General features: G+C 32.6%; 1 protein-coding gene across 1 annotated transcript in view, besides 1 other annotated feature; it reads right to left on the minus strand.

Moving 5' to 3' along the window:
* HCN1 (hyperpolarization activated cyclic nucleotide gated potassium channel 1) overlaps window positions 1-22,594 on the minus strand; it is a 441,433-nt gene that overhangs the window by 118,729 nt on the left and 300,110 nt on the right. The gene's annotated exons all lie outside the window — the stretch shown is intronic.
* Window positions 11,557-12,756: an enhancer, noted in NCBI's record as "MED14-independent group 3 enhancer chr5:45385335-45386534 (GRCh37/hg19 assembly coordinates)". NCBI's record gives its function as "activates an origin of replication core promoter dependent on BRD2, BRD4, P300/CBP and CDK7 cofactors, and independent of MED14, by STARR-seq in HCT116 cells {active_cell/tissue: HCT116}" and the evidence as "EXISTENCE:reporter gene assay evidence [ECO:0000049][PMID:35650434]".

Raw genomic sequence — 22,594 nt, forward strand, 5'->3', positions numbered from 1 at the left:
TATAATATATTACATACGGTATATACGTCATCTATAATATATTACGGTATATACGTCATCTATAATATATTACATACGGTATATACGTCATCTATAATATATTACATACGGTATATACGTCATCTATAATATATTACATACGGTATATACGTCATCTATAATATATTACATACGGTATATACGTCATCTATAATATATTACATACGGTATATATGTCATCTATAATATATTACATACGGTATATACATCATATATATTACATACGGTATATACATCATATATAATATATTACATACAGTAGATACATAATATATATAATATATATTATATACATAATATATATTATATATATTATATACATAATATATATTATATATATTATATATATAATATATATAATATCTATTACATATATGTATATAATATATATTATATACATAATATATATAATATATATTATATACATATTATATATAATATACATTATATACATAATATATATTATATATTATATACATTATATACATAACATATATATTATGTACATTATATACATAACATATATATTATGTACATTATATACATAACATATATATTATATACATTATATACATTATATATATTGTATACATTATATACATTATATACATTATATACATTATATATATATAATATACATATCCCTCAGAGAGATATATATATCCCTCAGAGACTACCACGATGAAGAAATGGGTAAATTCCTGAACACATACAACCTCCCAAGACTGAATCAAGAAGAAATGTAATCCTTATACAGACCAATAATGAGTTTCAAAATTCAATCAGTAATAAAATCCTGCCAACCACAAAAAGCCCAGGACCAGATGGATTCACAGCTGAACTCTACCACATTTATAAAGAAGTGCTGGTAGCATTTCTACTTAAACTATTCCAAAAACTTGGGGAGGGACTCCTTCCTAACTCATTCTATGAGGCCAGCATCATCCTGATACCAAAACCCGGCAGAGACAACAAAAAAAGAAAACTTCAGGTAAATATGCTTGATGAACACAGATACAAAACTCCTCAACAAAATACTTGCAAAATACTATGAATATATATATATATGTGTGTATATATATATATATAAAACCATATATATGTAGATAGATAGATATCTTTTTCTTCAAGTGATTTTGTAAAACTTATTTTTGGTTCATGGGTATATATATAGAGAGAGACAGAGAGAGAGAGAGAGAACTATACTATAGTTCATGGAAAGTTGAACTATACTATAGTTTGTCGACAGCAGTGTGGGATTTCTCTAAGAACTTAAAACAGGATCACCATTTGACTCTGGAATCCTATTATTCAGTATATACTCAAAGGAATGGAATTTTATATATATATATAATATATTATATATAATTATATATAATATAATATTTTATAATATATAATATATTATATATAATATATTTTATAATATATAATGTATTATATATAATATATTTTATAATATATAATGTATTATATATAATATAATATTTTATAATATATAATATAATATTTTATAATATATAATATATTATACATAATATAATATTTTATAATATATAATATATTATACATAATATATTTCATGATATACAATATATATAATATAATATTTTATGATATACAATATATATAATATAATATTTTATGATATACAATATATATAATATAATATTTTATGATACATATTATATATAAGATCATATTTTATGATACATATTATATATAAGATCATATTTTATGATACATATGATATATAAGATCATATTTTATGATACATATTATATATAAGATCATATTTTATGATACATATTATATATAAGATCATATTTTATGATACATATTATATATAAGATCATATTTTATGATACATATTATATATAAGATCATATTTTATGATACATATTATATATAAGATCATATTTTATGATACATATTATATATAAGATCATATTTTATGATACATATTATATATAAGATCATATTTTATGATACATATTATATATAATATCATATTTTATGATATATCTTATATATAATATCATATTTTATGATATATCTTATATATAATATAATATTTTATGATATATCTTATATATAATATAATATTTTATGATATATCTTATATATAATATAATATTTTATGATATATCTTATATATATTTTATCTTATATATTATATATGATATAATATTTTATCTTATATATTATATATGATATAATATTTTATCACATATATTATATATGATAAAATATTTTATCACATATATTATATATGATATAATATTTTATAATATTTTATCATATACAATCTATAATATAATATTTTATAATATATATTATATACAATATAATATGTTATAATATATATTATATTATATATAATATAATGTTTTATAATATATAATATGTTATATAAAATATAATATATTATATATAATATAATATTTTATAATATATAATATATTACATATAATATATATAACATATTTTATATATAATACATTATATATAATATATATTCTATATATTCTATATAGAATATAGAATATATATTCTATATAGAATATATAGATATATATTGTATTATATATAAAATATGTTATATTACATATATAACATATATTATATATATATAGAGAGAGAGAGAGAGAGAGAGAGAAAATGACTAGAGCTGATTCTCTTGGCAATGTGTGGATGCTACTAGAAGATGGCCTTTAACGACCAGGAAGTTGCCCTCATCAGACACCAGATTGGCTAGTGTCTTGATCTTGGACTTGTCAGCCTCCAGAACTGCAAGATATAAATGTTGCATAAGCTAAACCAAAACAAAACAATCTTCTAAAATTTAAAGGATGATGATAACAAGCATGATAACATTTGGCTGGTGATTTAAAGTTTGCAAAGAATGTTTAATAGTCCCAACTATTCCATGAGTCATGCAGGGCAGACGTGATTATGTTTATATCTTCATGAGGACCCTGAGGTTCACTGGCAGGAAATAACATTCTTAATACCATTCAGCAATTTCCTTGTGTCACTGGGATTCTGAACCATGTATTTTATACATAGAACACATGCTCACTTTTTTTCTGTGAATTATCTGTCATATATTGGTAAGGGAGCCAGTTAAAATCTTCTGTGACTTTCTGACATTATGATTTCTTAGAAGATTTCAGGTAATTCTAATGTTCAGCCAGGTCTGAGAACCACTGGTCTAGAATAAGAAGAGTGCAACCAGGTGTTTGTCATGTGAGAAAAATAGGGCATATGAAGACTTGTTGAGAAAACTTGGAATGCTATCTTGGACAAGAAAGTAATTATAAGAAAAGGTTTGACTTAGCTCTACTGTACTAGGCAGAACTAGAGAAAATGGTGGAAGTTATAGAGATACAGGTGTCAGAAAAATAGAAGCCTTGAAATTCACAGAATTAAAATATCGCAATAATAAACGTAAGCCTTGTGAAGTTGTAGCCTTCAGAAAACTGCTCAAACAAAAATGGACAACCATAGATCAAGAAAAATGGTGGCAGTCGGAATTCAATGCAGATGTAAAAAATAACTAGATCTCAGATTTCAAGATACTTAATAAAATTTCACATTTGTCTTGAGACCTAATTCCCATTCTTCTGTTCATGACTATTTAATATTTTGTGCATTTGTTAAATATTAATAATCAAAACAAATGTGTTTATTAAAAATGATCTTTTTTGCTTCTTTCTTTGTGGTCTGATCTATTTTTTAATATAACTTTTCAAATACTTAGGGGGCTGTTTTTTACACAATCACTTGCAACCTAATCTTTATAGCCTTAGTTGACAGACTGCCTGCTGAAACTAACCGAGAGCAAAGTTAATGACTTTGGTAAGGCCAGTTAAAAAAAAGTGATGTATTTGAGAAGGCAAGAAATGCAAACACTCCTTATACCTACATGTTGACACCTATCTCCCTAAGACTCAGCAGTGTTTTAGCTTAATTATTTCCGGTTTTGTGACTGACCTACTTGAGATAGTTAGAAGTCAGGTAGGTATGTGACTGGGTGTTACTATAAATACATAAGACTATAACAAATTGGGTTGTAGCTCAAACCTACAGCTAGTGGAAGAAAGCCTCCCAAGAGGGCTGTATAGAAAGATGGTATTTAGTCTTAGAAATAATTACTGGCATAAGCCCTGAAAGTTATTTATATAGAATAGAAGAGGTCAGATGATATTAAGAAAGGGGATCTCCTTACCCTGTATCCTCAACCAGTACTATACATTAATGAATTATGTGTATAAAGATGACCCAAAAGACATTTAAAGTGCCTTTTGGGTGGTCCAAAGGAGATTAATACATATTTAGTATAGAAAGAGACATTCAGAACTGGAGGGCACCACAGAGATAATTAATCTGACTATGTTAATTTTACAGATGAGGAAAAGAAACCCAGAGAGGCAAATTCATTTCCACATATTTTATACCTAGTTAGCAAATGTCAGGAAGAAAACCAGGGTTCCAATTTCCTAATGCGTAATCTTTGTCATTATCCCTCATCAACCCTACCATTCAGCATGTTTTGTTGTTCTTCAGTTCTTATTAATTCTTGGGTCAAACTTTTATATCCTTTGTAACTACAATAATTATAAACTAGAGTGCCAATTTTCTTGATAACTCTAGATAAAGAGGCATTTAGAAAATGTGTCCAGCAAGAAAGAAGTATTCCATTCTGGAGTAACCGTATATGTTCCATGTGAGTTTGAGAACCTGCCTGGAGCCAGGCAACATCAGAATATATTCTCTACCTCTAACTGGAAAATTTAAGCACCCCTATCTCCATGTGGAGGTTGATAAGTAATTGTTGTCTATCTATCCATTCATTGATTAATTTTCCAATGTTGGGTCACTGTTTGTTGTTTTTCTTTCATGTGCACTTTTTTAAAAATTATACTTTAAGTTCTAGGGTACATGTGCACAACGTGCAGGTTTGTCACATATGTATACATGTGCCATGTTGCTGTGCTGCACCCATTAACTCGTCATTTACATTAGGTATATCTCCTAATGCTATCCCTCCCCCAGCCCCTCACCCCACAACAGGCCATGGTGTGTGATGTTCCCCTTCCTGTGTCCAAGTGTTCTCATTGTTCAATTCCCACCTATCAGTGAGAACATGCGGTGTTTGTTTTTTTGTCCTTGCTATAGTTTGCTGAGAATGATGGTTTCCAGCTTTATCCATGTCCCTACAAAGGACATGAACTCATCTTTTTTATGGCTGCATAGTATTCCATGGTGTATATGTGCCACATTTTCTTAATCCAGTCTATCATTGATGGACATTTGGGTTGGTTCCAAGTCTTTGCTATTGTGAATAGTGCCCTAATAAACATGCGTGTGCATGTGTCTTTATAGCAGCATGATTTATAATCCTTTGGGTATATAACCAATAATGGGATGGTTCGGTCAAATGGTATTTCTAGTTCTAGATGCTTGAGGAATCGCCACACTGTCTTCCACAATGGTTGAACTAGTTTACAGTCCCACCAACAGTGTAAAAGTGTTCCTATTTCTCCACATCCTCTCTAGCACCTGTTGTTTCCTGACTTTTTAATGAGCTCTTTTCTATGATACGCTCCTCTTAATGTGAAACACTATTTAGGAAAATTTTCATTTTTCATGGTCTCTGAATTGTATCTAAGAAATATGGTATCTAAGAAGTATTACTTTTGAGAAATTAAAACTTAAATTTAGTGAAAAGTTTGTGTATGTTTGAAACTATGTAAAGGAAATAAAACACAAATAGCCTGGGTAATGTCCAATCTGGTATGATAACATGAATTAATCAATTTATGTCTGTATAATTCATCCAAAGACACAAGATACTTCCTTATTTTTATGAATGTATTATGAAACTTCTATTTGTGTTTTTCTGCTTAAGAATACAAATAAAACATTGTGGTTACCACAAATCTGTATAAGATCTATGAGGAAAGCTTAGACTAACAAATATTTTCATGGAATGCATAACAAGGGGCTTGGATAGTGCTATAAAACACAATCTTAGATTCTGTTTTTTATTAAAATACTACTTGATACAGAAAGAAAACCACATCTGAAAATTAATAATAAAAACCAATAGGAATGATGGGGAGTGACTCTTTAATGGGTAAAGAGCTTCTGTTTGGGATAATGGAAAAGTTCGAGAAATGGATAGTGGTGATGATTACATGACAAAATAAAGAGAAAAAAAGAGAGGCATATTTACGGTACAGATATGTAAATATATTCAATATATATTAAGTAAATAAGAGAGAACTTGAGGAACAAGTTTGAAGAGTTAGGATCCATTTGTCTTAGTCCATTCATGCTTCAATATAACAAAATATCTTAGAAGGGATACTTTATAAAGAACAGGCATTTATTTGTCATGGTTCTGGAGGCTGGGAAGTCCACAATCAAGACATCAGCAGATTCAGTGCCTGGAGAGGTCTGTTCTCTGCTTCCAAGATGGTGCCTTGTTGCTGTTTACTGTGTCCTCAGATAATTGAAGAGCAAAAAGGCCAGGCAGCTCTCTGAAGCCTCTTTTATAAGGGTGTTAATGCCATTTACAAGAGCTCATGACTTAATCACTTCCCAAAAGGCTCCCTCTTAATACCAACAAAATGGGAATTAAGCTTCAACATGAATTTTGGAGGGACACAAACATTCAAACAGTAGCACCATTAGTCTCTGTATATTCTATGGATATCCAGCATATGTCTAGAAAACATTCTGGAATAATTTAAGTTACATAGGAGATTTGGTTATGGAGGTACTCAGGTTCAAAACTGCAGAGTTCTGGGTTACTAAATATGTTTATAATAAATGGACACATTTTTCATCAGAAGAAAATGGTAAAAATGATATATTTTATGTTACGTATGTTTTATGACAAAAAATAAAAACTAGAGCACATAAGACTTCATGGCCATGACACCTAATAAGACTCCTAATAAGAATTCTTTGTACATTTTGTGCCTTTGTTAGACCTGTAGTTCCCATTACACACTATAGAAAAAGTAGTATTCTATTTTTGTGGCAAAGAACTATAAGGAAATCGTTTTATTATTTACAAGATGGGAAACTTTCTGGAACCACGAGATAAGACATCCCGTTGCTTGCTCAAAGTGAGATTAATTACCTTCCTTCATGTAAAACTAGAAAATATTAAATGTTATTTCCTCTTCCAGAGAAAATGGCACAGTCAAGATTAGTGTGCTGTGAGCACAGTGATAATTAGCATCTATCTTCAGGTACCCTGAATCATACAGAGTTTTCCATTGAAGGAGAGTTGTTATGATATTGCAAAGCTCTTTTGAAGGCAACAAAACTAGATTTCCTGTTCAATTTCTTAAAGTTAATTTATGTAAGAATCTCAATAATAATTATAGGATTAGCAAGTGCAATCATGAAGAACATAGCTTGTTAAGGTATATTAAGGTGTATAAGCCTCATAAAATAAGATACTTTTGAAAATAATTTAATATTTTTGTAAAAATCATTCTGAGAAGTTCTTTGAACCAGCAGAAACCTATCCTACGATATAAGATAGGAAAACAACTTCAGATAAGTTTCTTCCCAAAACGTAGATTCTAGGGTCTCTCTCTTCTATCATTATGGATACATCAGGGCCAAGTGAATTTTTTACTTTCTACTACATCCTCTCTATATAGATAAATTACAAACTACAAAGCAATGGCCATCAGAAATTTGAAACAAATAAAGTAAAAAAGCTCACTTAAAGCTCTCATTCATGTAAAGTTAGTATTTTTGTCATAATGATTCTTTCCCATATGACAATCCCTCGTCCCTTACTCCTCACATGGTCAGCTCCATTTCATCCATCAGGGCTAGGTCCGATGTTACCTTGCTAAAGAGACATTTTCCAGATTCATCACCTGCCTATAATCCTCTCACATCTATTCCATCAATCCAGCAAGTCCTGCCACTTCTCCTGCCTGCATAAATCCCAGACCTTCCCACTCCTTGCTATATCCAAGCCATCTCTCAAGCCCAGACCATCACATCTTCCTGGGATCTCTTATCCAATTCCCCTGCTTCCATTCTTGTCCTAACTGGACCTACACCCCACACCACAGCCAACATGGTCTTTTCAAAACTAAAAACAAATCATATTATTTCCCTGCTTATACCTTTCCAATGGCTCCCCATTGAAATGTAAACTAATCAGACAAGGAGATGCCTCCTGATCTGGCCTGTCTTCCTATTTGAGCTTCAATCCTACTGTCCAGCCATTGTCCTCCGCACTGACTCTGTTCCTACATCACTGACTTTGAATTGCTAGAGCAAGTTAGCCTCTTCCCATCTCAGCGGCTGTGTACTTTCTCTTTTCTCTGATAATAAAACATCTTCCTTCAGATGTTTTTGCATTCTTGTCTCAGCATAAGTGACACTTCACCAGAAAGGACTTCTCCAACTAACCCTTCTAGGAGAATAGAGTAACTCTCTTCCCTCCACATGTTATTCCCTATCCAATTACTTTGTTTTATCTTGTTTAGAGCACTTATCATCATCTGCAAGCATCTTATGCCCTTGTATGTTTTAGTATTTACTACCTGTGTACACTGTAAGCTGCATGAAGACAGAGACTTGTCATGTTTAATATGGTACCCTCAGTACCTAGAAAAGAGCCTGACAAATAGAAGGTACTGGATTTGATGACTGAATGAATTAATATATGAATTAACTGGATAACTCTCATTATTCTCTAAATTCTTCATTCCTTTTCTTCATAACACCATATTATATCATGTTTATACACACACAGATATACCTGCTTATTTGCTTCTTTTAAATTTTTGACTTACTTATTAATTGATTTTTGGTCTGTCTCCTCCTTAACCTGTATTCTACATGAAGACAGTGGTCATATCTGTATTATCCGTATTTCAAATTTTGGAAATACTTTGGTGTCTGAAATATTATTAGCACTAAATAACACCTGATGAATTAATGAATCTGATAAACTATTCAAACAAGAAGAATCAACAGGTGTGCCTTAGAAAGTACATTTCCCTTTCTGAATTTTATCTCAGATGAAATAATGATGAAATCATGAAATTACGAAATGATGAATACACCCAATTCTTCACTGATGCACTTAAGCAATTGTTATGATTAAATGGGGGACTTTATTGTAATGTTAGGAAAGGAAAATTTGGAAAAATATAACTACTACACTACAGTAGAGAAAACTTTGGATCTTGTTTTTCTTATCTCTAAAATGTGAATTAATTGAGATTAAAATGATCTCTATATAGGAGGTTTGTCATAACGTTTGTTTGTAAAGTGTTATTGAGTAAAAATAATTAACTACTATTAGAGATGAAGAAAATGAGTCTCTAAGAGACTATAAAACTTGTTGTGGTCATGCAGTTATGAAGATGCAGAGCTGGGATTTAACATTTTTCAGTGTGATGCTATCGTCTATGCATTTTCTACTATACCAATTGATTAAAGTACATTTTAAAAAATGCAATGGGCATGTATTCAGAATTCTGGTAATTTGTTATAGATTACTAATTTGCATGTTTTATTGCTACCACCTCCTCTTTTAAATTAGTGTAACTTTTTAAACTAAGGCTTCTGAAAATAAATGATTATAATTTTAAAACATGGTACATAATTTCAAAATCTACACCTAGATTTAAATTCCATGAGGAGGCTGGGCACGATGGCTCATGCCTGTAATCCCAGAATTTTGGGAGGCCGAGGCGGACGAATCACCTGAGGTCAAGAGTTTCAGACCAGCCTGGCAACATGTTGAAATCCCATCTCTACTAAAACTACAAAAATTAGCCAGGCATGGTGGCACACGCCTGTAGTCCTGCTACTCGGGAGGCTGAGGCAGGAGAATCGCTTGAACTCAGGAGGCAGAGGTTGCGGTGAGCTGAGGAGACAGAGGTTGCAGTGAGCTGAGATCGTGCTCACCACTGCACTCCAGCAAGGGTGACAGAGACAGATTCTGTTTCAAAAAAAAAAAATCCATGAAGAAATATGAAAACTATTAACTTTAATTAATCAAAAATAACTTGGGTTATTTCCAGATAATATAAAATGTTTGTTTTTTCCACAATATTTTAATAGTAAAATACAAAAGAATCACAGATTCTCTTGCCTTGTTTGTATACCAAGTTAGTAATTCCACATCCTCTGCTCCACAAAAAACAAAACAAACAAAAACAACCTTATACAACATCTGAGAAACAGGTAAGAAGTTGCTACCAAAACTCCTGAAATTGATTATATTTATTTATATTCTAAAACAGTAAAATGTTCTGTATCCTAGAAAAAGTTTTATAATTAATTTTTGCCACAAATTCTCTATCTACTAAATAGGGAGAATAACTCATCAAAGAGTTTGCTGGGGGAATTCTAATGATCAAAGCTTAACAGCCACCGTATATACTCATGTTTCCTTTACATCCCCGTGCAGTATTTGGTGTTTAGTAAAGCTGCTTACAATGCCAAGTACATTTCCTTTCAAGTAGATAAAAGCCTTGTGATAGATGAATGTAATAAGATACTAAAAACACCCACAGATATCTAAATGATGTCTATATTACATCCAATATAGTCACAGAAAATCTTTGGAATAATGTGAGATCTATGGTATTTCATATTATTTCAAAGTTCATACTATTTTAAATTAATAAAACTCATGAAAATCAATTTTCTAAAGTATAACTTCACTGTTTATATGGCCAAAAGCACATAAACAGCACTGCAGAACATAAATTTTTAAGTGAAGATTTATTTATATTTCAATATATTGCTCACTTAACATTCTTGTTTACTAAACACAGGTGATCAAACAGGGAAGAATTTAATTAAACTGTTCATCAAATGTTTGATCTTTCTCAAATAAACTTGTTTTTACGGATGGAAAAAAATCTTAGAATAATAAATCTAGCTCTCAGTGAGGTCTTCCTTGGATGTTATGGACTAATTTTGGAGGTTGGAAGAAAAATGCAAAGGCTGATCTGCAAAGCACTTCTGAGAATTTTAAGTTCATCATTTATCTATGGATTTCTCCAAAGCACATTTGTTTGGGAAATAAGAATGCTGCTTTGTATCTTTGTGACTCTGCTAGTTAGAGGTATAAATGTGGAATCTAATTTAATCTCTTTGGATCTCAGTTTTCTTATCTCTACAATGTGAATTAATTGAGATTAAAATCATAATGAGGATCATAAATAGAAAAGTCTTCCTTTTTTCCAGAACTGGAGACTTCAAAAAATTAAACAGACAACTTTTAAACTAAGAAAATATTTGTGTCAATATTGTCTACATAGCATTAATTATCTGGATGGTAATTTAGCAATTTAAAATGTCGATATATGCTAACACTAGTTAGTCCTGTGCACACTCAGAATACTGACTGTTTTCTTTATTCTGATTCTTTAGCTGTTGTGTGAATTTAGCTTCCAGTTAATATCTAAAACTGGGTTGAGAATGGGACTATTTTATATTATTTTTATAAAACATGGGGACCTAATATCCCTTATTGCTAGATTTTTTACATTGCTCATAGGAGGGATTACCACTGTAACTGCATAAAGAGCACTTATTAATTTATGAAAGTTGAGAAGGTAGTCATTCGATTTTTTTTAATTAAAAAAAGGAAATTGATTTGTAAATTTAATTTCTTAAATTTGTGTTTTCATATAACTTCCTGGGGCTTGCAAGAGTTGAAAGCTATAATATTACTGCCAAGAAGCCAGGAAGAATGAGTCATCTAGTCAGGAAATAAAGGCAATTAAGGCTTTTAACCTTTCACCCCTTAAAGACATTTTAACATATTTCAATATGATCAAATCTATTGTGAATTTTCTGAAAATCTATTGTAAAGTTTCTTGATACTTTAAACAATATTTACCGTATTTGCAAGGTATGTTTCAGTGGTTATTAAAAATCCCATTTGTCTTTAAATACTTTAAAAACTGGGTGAAAAATCGGAGGAATTAAATAGTGAATGCAATTAAATATAAAATGTAAGTTTCGGTGAATTGGCAAATAAAATTCCACAATTACCACATTCTACTTGAGTGCCATGTGTCTGTTTGGGAATAATCGCATTCTTGGCTGGACACAGCCGTTGTGTGACTCAGAGCCTCATTTCCTCTTACAGCACATGGGACCCAATCCTCTGGATTCTCCAGGACCAGCTTAGCTCTACAATCCTCCTGCCAGATACCACTAAAACAGAAGGAGCTCTCATTGTAATAAAAATACATTTTATGAATTGACCACATTTTAGTGGAGCTGGACAGGAGTCCTTCAACCAGAGTCTTATCTAAATCAATTGAAAGCTATATGTCATGGTCCTCCATTGTATTGTGCCACAGCAGTGGGGACATTTCAGTTGCTGAATATTATACTTATTGTACTTACCATTTTTCTGTTCCTCCTTCTTGCTTGCTTATAGATTTTTTTTTTTTTTTGGACAGGGCCTTGCTGTGTCTCCCATGCTGGAGTTCAGTGGTGTGATCAGAGCTCACTGCAGCCTCAACCTCCCCAGCTCAAGTGATCCTCCCACCTCAGACTCCTGAGTAGCTGGGAGTATAGGTGCGAGCCATCATGTTCATCTAATTTATTTTTCACTTTTTCTAGAGACAAGGTCTCCCTCTGTTGCCCAGGCTAGTTGTGAACTCCCTGGTTCAAGCAATCCTCCTGCCTTGAACTCCCAAAGTGCAGGGATTACAGGCATGAGCCAGAGCTCCCAGCCAACCTTTTCTCTTTCTCTTCTGTCCTTTCTGCGCATCTACTTTTAGCAGCTCTGCATCTACTTATACTGTGTTGCTTTTCTACAAAGTTCAAAGGTGGAGCTTAGTTCAGGGGCTCATTATTACTAGCAATCTGAGCTCCAAATATGCAAGTTATTTCTGTAAATAACTAAAAAATTGTTCAGTGCTCTAATCAGCTCATCATTTGGAAATAAAATTTAAAAATCTTCTCACGTTAAAATAAAATTCAGTATTTTATATTCTCATTGGAAGAAAAACTTGAGTCTATTTACATCCTTTAATAGAAATCTTGAATTCTCTCTAAATATCACTTAATAACACTCTCATGCTAAAATTTACGATCATTTTTATTATACATGCCAATCTAAATATTTTAATAGAGGCTTTTCCAAAATTGCTAAAGTAACTTTTAAATTTTTAGTTCATTAATTCTAGTAATAACTTCAGTAAGTGGGAGACAGCAAGAAATCTTTTAAAACAAATATACTATTGTAAGATAATTTCACTTGGCAAAGCTTAAGCAATGAATATGGAATATAATCATTTATGTTATATTATAATCTGAATATATGTTTTGATCCTTTAAGTAAAATACTGGTATAGTCAGAAAAAAAGTTGAAAATATTTTGTCCCAAAGTGGTTTATAGTTGTCTCATATATATATCAAAAGTTTTTAATTTGTATTTTAAGTTCACAGTATCAATATATTCTGTTCAAAATGTATGAGTTACTTCATATATTCTTCAGAGAGAAACATTTTGACTTCAGAAAGTAAACTATAATATCTTACTCTCATATTATTGTTTCATACTATTTATGATACAAATAATATAATTATGTTTTATACAAATTTCCTTTTCTTAAGAATGGCAGAGAAAAATCCACGTTAGTGATTCACAATAAATGATCAGATTACAATTGAAAATTCAGGGGAAAACTATTGGTAAATAAATATTTTACATACTGAATTTTTTTTAATAACAGTGATATCTTTGTTAATAAAGAGGATACATTTAACTAATGTTTTACTTAGGGGCACTTCATTACTCCTGGTAAATAAGACACGGTGTATAAGATGCATTCTAGATAATGCATTCCAACATTTCTAACAGATGGCTTAAGAGAAGATAGCAATTTCGCCCTACATTTTATTATTTTGCCACTTCTTACCCTGTATATCTCCACATTCTCTGTCATCTATCAACTTACAGCACCAGGCCATATACAGTAGTCCTCACTTATTAGTGGGACATACGTTCCAAGACTCCCAGGGATGCCTAAAACTGCAGATAGCACCAAACCCTATACATATACTATGTTTTATTCTTATGCATACATACCTATGATAAAGTATGATTTATAAATTAGGCACAGTAAGAGACGCACAATAACTAATAATAAAATAGAACAATTATAACAATATACTGTGATAAAAGCTATGTGAATGTTTATTCGTGCAACTTTCCATTTGATATTTTTGGACCATGATTTACCACAGGTAACCGAAACTGAAAACAAAAATATGGATAAGAGGAGGGCTATGGTGACTCAAAGTCTCAGTGGTTCTCCATTGCCTACCAAACCAAATACAGACGATTTTAGGCCTTACAGCTACTATTGTTTTTCAAGTACTCCACTGCCCATTCAAAATATATGAACTTCCTAAGAAATTCCAAGCATCTTCCTAGCTCTTCATCTTTGTTCTTGTATCTGTGGCACAGGCCACTATTTTCCCACCTAAATCTCTTCTCTGCTTGTTCCCTATGGATAGAGTTGTTGAGTGGTCACAGTTCTGCTTAGTTAGAAAAAATTTCTCAGCCTCCTTGAGTAGAAATATATTAATAATTAAGTTCTCATCAATAAACCATGAGAAGAAGTAATATGCCTGTCCCGCTGTGTTCTCTTCCTCTTGTCATGAGCTGGAAGACAAACATGTCTCCTGCACAGCTTCAAACATGCAGACAAGAACAATACCCTAGGGTGGTGCTGGTCTCTGGACCGGTAGCAGCAGCAGCATCTGAGATCTTGTTGGAAACACAAATTCTCAAGCCCCACTGCAAATTTAATGAAGCAGAAACTCAGGAAATGTGGCCCACAAATCAGTGTTTTAACAAGCTTTTCAGGTGACTATGAGGCACACTAAAGTTTGGAAAGCATTGTCCTAGGTGATAGTGGAGGAACAACTTGGATGAACCTATATTCACAAATGGCCATTTGGAGCAGTGTCATCCCACTTACCCCTCTCATTTCACAAAGTTTATTTGTGAAATCATATAGTTCTTTAAGTTATTGAATTGTTGAGTCTCTGTCTTACAGAAGTTTAGTATTTGTCCTAATAGTATTTTTCAATATATAATGGCTATTTAGTATTCCCACCCTGTTTAATATGTCCACCCGCTAAAATGGAAATCTCACCTAGGTCTCTGCAAGTTTGCACTGGAAAACTGTGTAACGCCAAAGAAGACCAGGCCAGTTTTGCCTTCCTTTAATCTATTATACACACTGTTGATTAACATTTTTTAAAAATGGCAAATCTAATCTCATCACTCTTCCATTTCAAATTGCTACTAGACTCTCAAGGCATTTAGGCTACAAGATAGCATGGTTGCCTAGGCCTATAAGGTGTCACCTAAACTGATCCCTATCAGCCTCTCCAGTCTTATCTAGAGTCATTTCACCTTTCTCTCTGTTCTAGCTACACTTTCTATCTGTCTGTTCATGAACTGTGGTAAGCTTCTTCATACCTCAGTTTTTTCTCATGAAGTTCACTTTCATGTCTTACTTCTCATCTTTCAGGTCTCTTCTCAAATATAATATAATTTCTTCTTCTCTCCCCCCATTTCACCCTACAGTATTCCATATGAATCAAGTAAAAAATCTTAAAATCTCTTATCTCGCCTGTACATTTCCACTCATAGCATTAATTTCCTAAAAAAATAATGTAGTGCTTTCTATGAATCATTCTATTAGGTGAAATATCCTCCTAACCCCACCCACTATATTACAAGAAGCTTGATGAGAGGAGGTACCATGTCTACTTGCTCACTATGTGCCTAGCATCTGGTAGTAGGCCTGACACATGGTTAGCATTCTGCAGGAATGCATGGAGTGCAGGAACAAAATAGATTATTTGAAGCTCAAATAACACGACAACTTATAACTGAAGACTATTTGGATCCTACTTACTTATAAAAATGTTGTTTCCTAAAGTTTTATCTATTAGAGTTATCTCTACCTACTTAATGGGCTCAAATTCCTGCTTAACATATTTGTATTAATGATTCCATCAGAAACAATTTTGATCAAGGAATCTTAGATTCTAGGTTAGGAATACGTCGTATCTCATGCACTGTTGTGATTTATTTTTCTAAAAGACAATTTTAATTCAGACTTACCATTGCTAAGTTTTTCAAAGGATATCCCTTTAATAATGTACAATCTCATCATTCCAGAATTCAAAACTATTTTTGGCCATAATCTAGGCTATTTCACACTTTCCCCAGCAAGGTAGCTATTGTTTCATTCAAATTAGACTATTCAATATGTCTCATACATCTCTACCTCAGGGCCTTTGCACACTTTGTTCCTGTCTGCCAGAAATTCTCTCAGAATTTGGACATTTTTCTGAGACATTTCTCTCATGGTGACTAATCCTGCCTGCTGATTACCTCTTCATTCTTCAAGGTCCATTTCCAGTGCATCCCAGTAAAGCGGCTAACCAAACACAAGTTACATGCAGGTTGATTCTTGTCAATGTGGGTTCTTATCAGATTAGTGGCTCCCTGGTCACCAGGTTTCCCTGTGAAAGTGCTTCACAGTTTGTTTCTATCTTATGACATATAAGGAATACAAATACAGTAAGAATACTTGAAAGAGAACTTTGGGGAGTAAACTCAAAAATTCAAACAGTTCTAAAATATCAAATGCATAATCAATTAATTAAATGGAAAATACAGCTCTACTTTAGAGCTATAAAAAGAAGCTAACATATGTGCTGTAAAAAATAATAAATGTAAACAGCAAAAAACTAAATTAAGGTTTAGTATGGAGAAATCTTTAGCACTTTGCACAGTCCTGAAAATGTGAATATCTACAATATACATGTAGGGCATTCCAGCATATAACTTAGAGCATTGACACAGAAATTATCACTGGGGAAAAGGGATGCCATATGCCACAGTGGGTTATATCAAAATACAAAGTTTGAAAAATCATGGGATATGTGATTTACAATTGGTAAGTTTCTGTTTTTCTATTTAGTTAAATTAAGTCTCAAACTCCCTCCCTTATAAAGACTTACTCCAGACTTTATAACAACACTTAGTTAATATAAAAATTATTTGCCCCAGATGAGAATATAAAGCAACATTGTTGTACCAGGAGCCTGATTTGCTAGCAACTCCAATGGCTACATTAAGTTATTCCAAGCATTGTCACACTGGTGTTTTCCTGCAAGAGAATCTCACAGAGGTTCCCAGCCCTAGGATCTCCCTCGCCTGAGAACGTTTGGCTCTACTACCAATTTAACATACCACGGTATGTTAAATTCAGTTCCCGGGAAGCAAAGTACATGCTGTAGCCTAATAAAAAATTTTTGACTAAGGTACTATGTGGGAGTTGTACTCAAGGCATTCTTATTTGTAAAGGAAAGAGGAAAGCATTTAAGAATTATGAAGGAAACCAAGTGAAATGCTTGATTGAAAGCACTTGGATCTCAGAGCTAGCTCTTCCCCTTAAGAATAATCCTAATGCACATTAGGGTATCAAAACATTTTTTATTTAAGTACTCAGTCGATATGATTTTTCAAGGTCAAGATCATTATAACTTCAAAGTCCCTCTGCTCTTCTGAAGGCAGATGCTACTGAATGCTACAAAATCAGCAAACCAAATTAGTAACTCAACTAAGCTTCTTGATGTAATGAAGATGGGCTATAAAACAGGATGTAACTTTTTTCTTTTAAAACTAAATAATGGTATTATTCATAAATGATTATGGGCATTACTCCAAACTGTTCCTCTTTGCTCAGCCATTATTCTAGTCATATAGCTTAAAAAATTGAAGACTTAGAATTACATGACAATAATGACAAACTCTCCCATCTGTCTTTCTGAGAGAGGAGGCTCCATCATCTCCTGAAGCAGAACACACCCATGATTAGCCCAAGACTAAGAAATGGCTTCAAATCTGATGAGAGGCACTTTGATAATATGCCTCTTGCTCCCAGGGAAATAAATCTCAGAATTCTAGAAGAGAAAGCAGATTGAATATTTCATTTCTAAAAAGTGATCTGTGTTCAAGCAAAATAAAAATAAGAAAATGGTCCTTATACTCCCTCTGGACAGAGAGAGTAAATACGGTAAACAAATGACTATACAATGGCATGATCAAGAAACATTCCCACAGCCTTCCAAAGGAAAAGGCAGAATCTATGTAAATAGTGAAAGGGGTAAAAGTATTTAAGGGGGTGGAGTGAAGGTAAGAATCACTTGGTATGTTGAGAGAACAATGATCCTTAAGAATTTAAGGATCCTTAAGAGTTGATTTGGCGCCACTCCTCCTACATCCAAATTTTTCTTGAAGAGCATATAACCAAGAAAGTATATATCTTAACCATAATTATTTTATTTTAAATGAGCTGAAATAAACTCTATTGCAAATGGGATTTGAATAGCTTGAAGATAAGAGCAGGTTTTGGTCCCTCACCTTTTGTGTCTGGGTGTACCATTAGCTTACACAAATTTGAAATATTAGGTTGATTTAAAAAAATTAAAAATGTATCTATGGAATAAATTTATGTGGCAGTTCTGATTATGGGCCTTCATTTACAAGAAAAAACAAGGATCTATGGATCATTAATTAAAACTAAGCAATTAAACAAAAACATTTGCCTGAGCTAAATAGGTTTAGAACATTATTTTTTGGTATGATTACATAAAATTGAATCATTTTATATAGGTGGATAATGATTACATATTACTCCTTTGTATAGCTGAGAGAGTACTTACATTAAACTTTACCTTCTTTTCCAAAAGGCCACTAATAGTTATCATATATAGGCCAGGCACGGTGGCTCATGCCTGTAACCCTAGCACTTTGGGAGACCAAGGTTGGCGGATTACTTGAGGTCGGGAGTTCTAGACCAGCCTGGCCAACATGGTGAAACCCTGCCTCTACTAAAAATACAAAAATTAGTCAGAAATTGCTGGAACTCGGGAGGTGCAGATTACAGTGAGCCAAGATCGCGCCACAGCACTCCAGTCTGGGCAACAGAGCGAGACTCCATCTCAAAGAAAAAAAAAAAAAGCCATCACATAAACTCTTTCCAAGATTAACAAAACTTGATAAATTTGTCATTTTGGAGAAGTTTAGCGTTTTTATTTCATATACTCGATAAACTGAGACTCAGCACATTCTTTGGACATTACATAACATAATCAATATTTGAATCTAGGTATAGAACTGGCTTGGTGGCTTGGTATCTTGTGCCCTGCCATTAGAAAGCACAGTCCATTTTAACAGCTCATTTTGCACCTGCCCTGGAATTATGCAGTCTGATTCACAGTTTCAGGATGCTATTCAGTCCATAAAGGGATTTGGAATTGATAACTTCCTCACATATTTAAAGTTATTCTTTGGTCATATTCAAGTTGGTGATATTCGTATTTTAATTTACACAATAAAAGTCTTTCATGTATATCAAGTATACCAAGGTGAGTTGCAAATCCCTGAATCTTAAGTCATGATTTATATTGTGCCAAAATTCTTGCTCATTGCAGAGGAAGAAGTGAACACATAAAGCTTCTATTACTATAGTTATTTGATTGGAGACAGCGACATAACTAGAAATAATAGTCAGCTTCCCAGGAGTGTCCAAATGTATGAACTAAGATGTAGTAGTATAAAAAACCAAGGTGATCAAAAGGAGTTTCATTTCATGAAGGCTAGATGAAGTGCAATTATATCTAGAAAAGAAAGTGACCACTCAAAATCAGTTTAAAAATAAAAGAATGGTCATCATGGAGAATTTGTCTTTATAGGTTAATTCCTTTGGACATTAGTAACTTAAAATCTATGGAGGCTTGGCATGAAGGTCAAAGATGGCATGTTAAATCTTCAGGGCACACACATTTACACTAAAAAACACTTCTGTAAGATTGTTTCAATCAACATTTCTGAACTTATTTGACCAGGGCATTGTTTTTATATATGCATAATACTGACATGTCTGTGAAGGACGCTTTTGGATTAGATGAGATAAAGAATGGTCTAAAAAGATGCTAAGTAAGGACTGAATCTGTCCTATGCTCATTGAACTGCAAATCTGAGAGTTATCAGAATATTGCTTATGTAAGAGGCTGTCTTCTATGCAAGTAAAAATTGTAAATGGTGATCTGAGGATCATAACTCCTGGAGGCTTCAGTCTTATCAATTCTATATAGAGATCAGGGGGTAAGGTGAGATTTTTCCTGATAGAACTAGTGAATACATTCCTTTTGAGAGAGAAGTTCCTCTGCTGTGAGTCCCTTTACAACCTCTTTTGGGATAGGGGTGTGAAAAGGCTACTTTCTAACACCTGACATATGGAAAACACTTGAAACAAATTCATTTAAGGATCTTTGAAATAAGCTCATGTGGTTGGGAGACATGGATCTGGACTCTGAATAATATCTGACAACATGTAAATAGTCTGCGAACGCTGGAGTCTGACTATCGTCAAGGAAGGCTAGATACACTCTCCTCATTGGTTTGGAAGAGAAGGAAGAGGAGTGCTAACAGATTGTCTAGGAGAAGGATGCATGAGTGCTTCTCTGTGGACTACATCTGAACCATATAGGAGGGCCAGCATTCCATTTTGGGTCCTGCCCAAGAGTGCCTCCTATCAGAATTTTACCTAAATAAAAAGATAATAATTTAGCCAAAACTCAAAGAGGGCAAATCACCAAAGAAGCTGCACATTACTCATCCACTATGTAAAGCCATGCTATAAGATTAAATTGAAATTTAAACATATACTTTTCATAAAAAGTAAAATTTTTAAAAAGTAACATAATGTCCTTAAGACCTATCCTGGATTACACTGACTAAAAAATGAGTACAGAACTTTAGAACTAAACTTCTTGGCAGAACTTGGTTTGTAGACCTAAAATTTATTCTTTTAATACAAAAATTAGTCAGGCGTGGTGGCAGGTGCCTGGAATCCCAACTACTTGGGAGACTGAGGCAAGAGAATCATTTGAACCCCGAAGGTAGAGGTTGTAGTGAGCTGAGATTGCACCACTGCACTCCAGCCTGGGTGACAGAGACTCCATTTCAAAAAAAAAAAGTTATATTCTTTTAATCAGCTGTTCCTGATTACATTGTTCCAAATGCCAGTAAATACCAAAGGGTTATACTAGTTTTCTTGTCCTCTATCAAACACTTATAAGATCAAGAACTTCATGATTTGAATTATTACAAAATCATAACATCTTTGCATACAAATATCTATGATTCCATAAGTGAATACATTGAGTTTCCAAGTTAAACTTGGCTAATACAGGAAATTTAAAAACATAAACTTTGTGAACTTATTTAATATGCAATAAAATGCTAATCACTGCAATCCTGGAAGTTAAACATTTGTTTTCTTATTGAGAAAATGTATAGCAATGATGCAGACCAAAAAAAAAAGTGTGAAAGGGGCATTTTTATTAAAAGCAACATAAAATGAAAGAAAAGCAACAGTGTAAGAGAAACATCAGATTTAACGTGATGTAGTCTTATCTTAAATCTCCATAAAATTAGCCCAAATTCCTTTAAGTATATAATTCTTAGTTAAATTCAGCATTGTATAAAGTCTCTTCTTCCTTACTACGTTCTTCGTTCTTTCCAATTCATTTGGAGACTATTTAAAAATGAACCTCAAACCAATTTTTGTGGTTTATCTTTTCATTACTTCAGTAATAAAATGCCAACTTGCTCACTGTAATAGCTAGTGGCAGTATAATTATATTCAAGGGAAATATCTAGGTTCCCTTTCTCATATTGTGTGATTATAGTGTTGAAAACTTCTGTAAATAAAGCAGTAACTGAAAACTTCTTTGGATGTTTTGAAAACAATTCTGAGACTAAGCTGTTATCACTCACCAAGAGAAATATTCTAGAGCCATTTTAATCATTACTTTCAGAAACGCTCTTTGGCAAGGTGCATGACTCTGTCAGGATCAACAAAGCCCCTACATTACACATTGTTCCATTAATTTAAAATATTCTTATTTATCTGTCAGAAAGCTACTGATGTTTGGTCAAGAATATTAGTACTGTCCCAATACCCTATATTTAGCCCTAGCCAAAGAAATTCTTCATGTGGGAAAAAAAAATCCAATGAATAAATCATTGCCTATATTTACTTTTTCTCTCTCTTGTGAGAAAAGTTTAGAGCAGCAATCATTTTAATTAGCACATTGAGCATAAGAATGCATCACAGCAGTTGTTATATCCAGTTTTAAGACTGGAGAGTGTGGCGACTTATCTAGATATACAGGTAATATATGCTCAGCTAAGCATATGGATTGTAATATAAATTATGATTATAGATGAGGGGGGGTACAGAGGGACATGCACAATAGCTGCCTGTCTCCACTTAATCAGCTAACATTTTTCTAACACATACGAGAGAAGGGTTTATTTTAACTATTGACATATGATAGAAAATGAGCCATGATAACATCTTCTATCAGCTTTTTACATTTTGAAATATATAGCTATTTTTTCTGTAGATGTAAAGTCACA

The sequence above is a fragment of the Homo sapiens genome, chromosome 5 (assembly GCF_000001405.40).
Source record: "Homo sapiens chromosome 5, GRCh38.p14 Primary Assembly".
Lineage (NCBI taxonomy): Eukaryota > Metazoa > Chordata > Mammalia > Primates > Hominidae > Homo > Homo sapiens.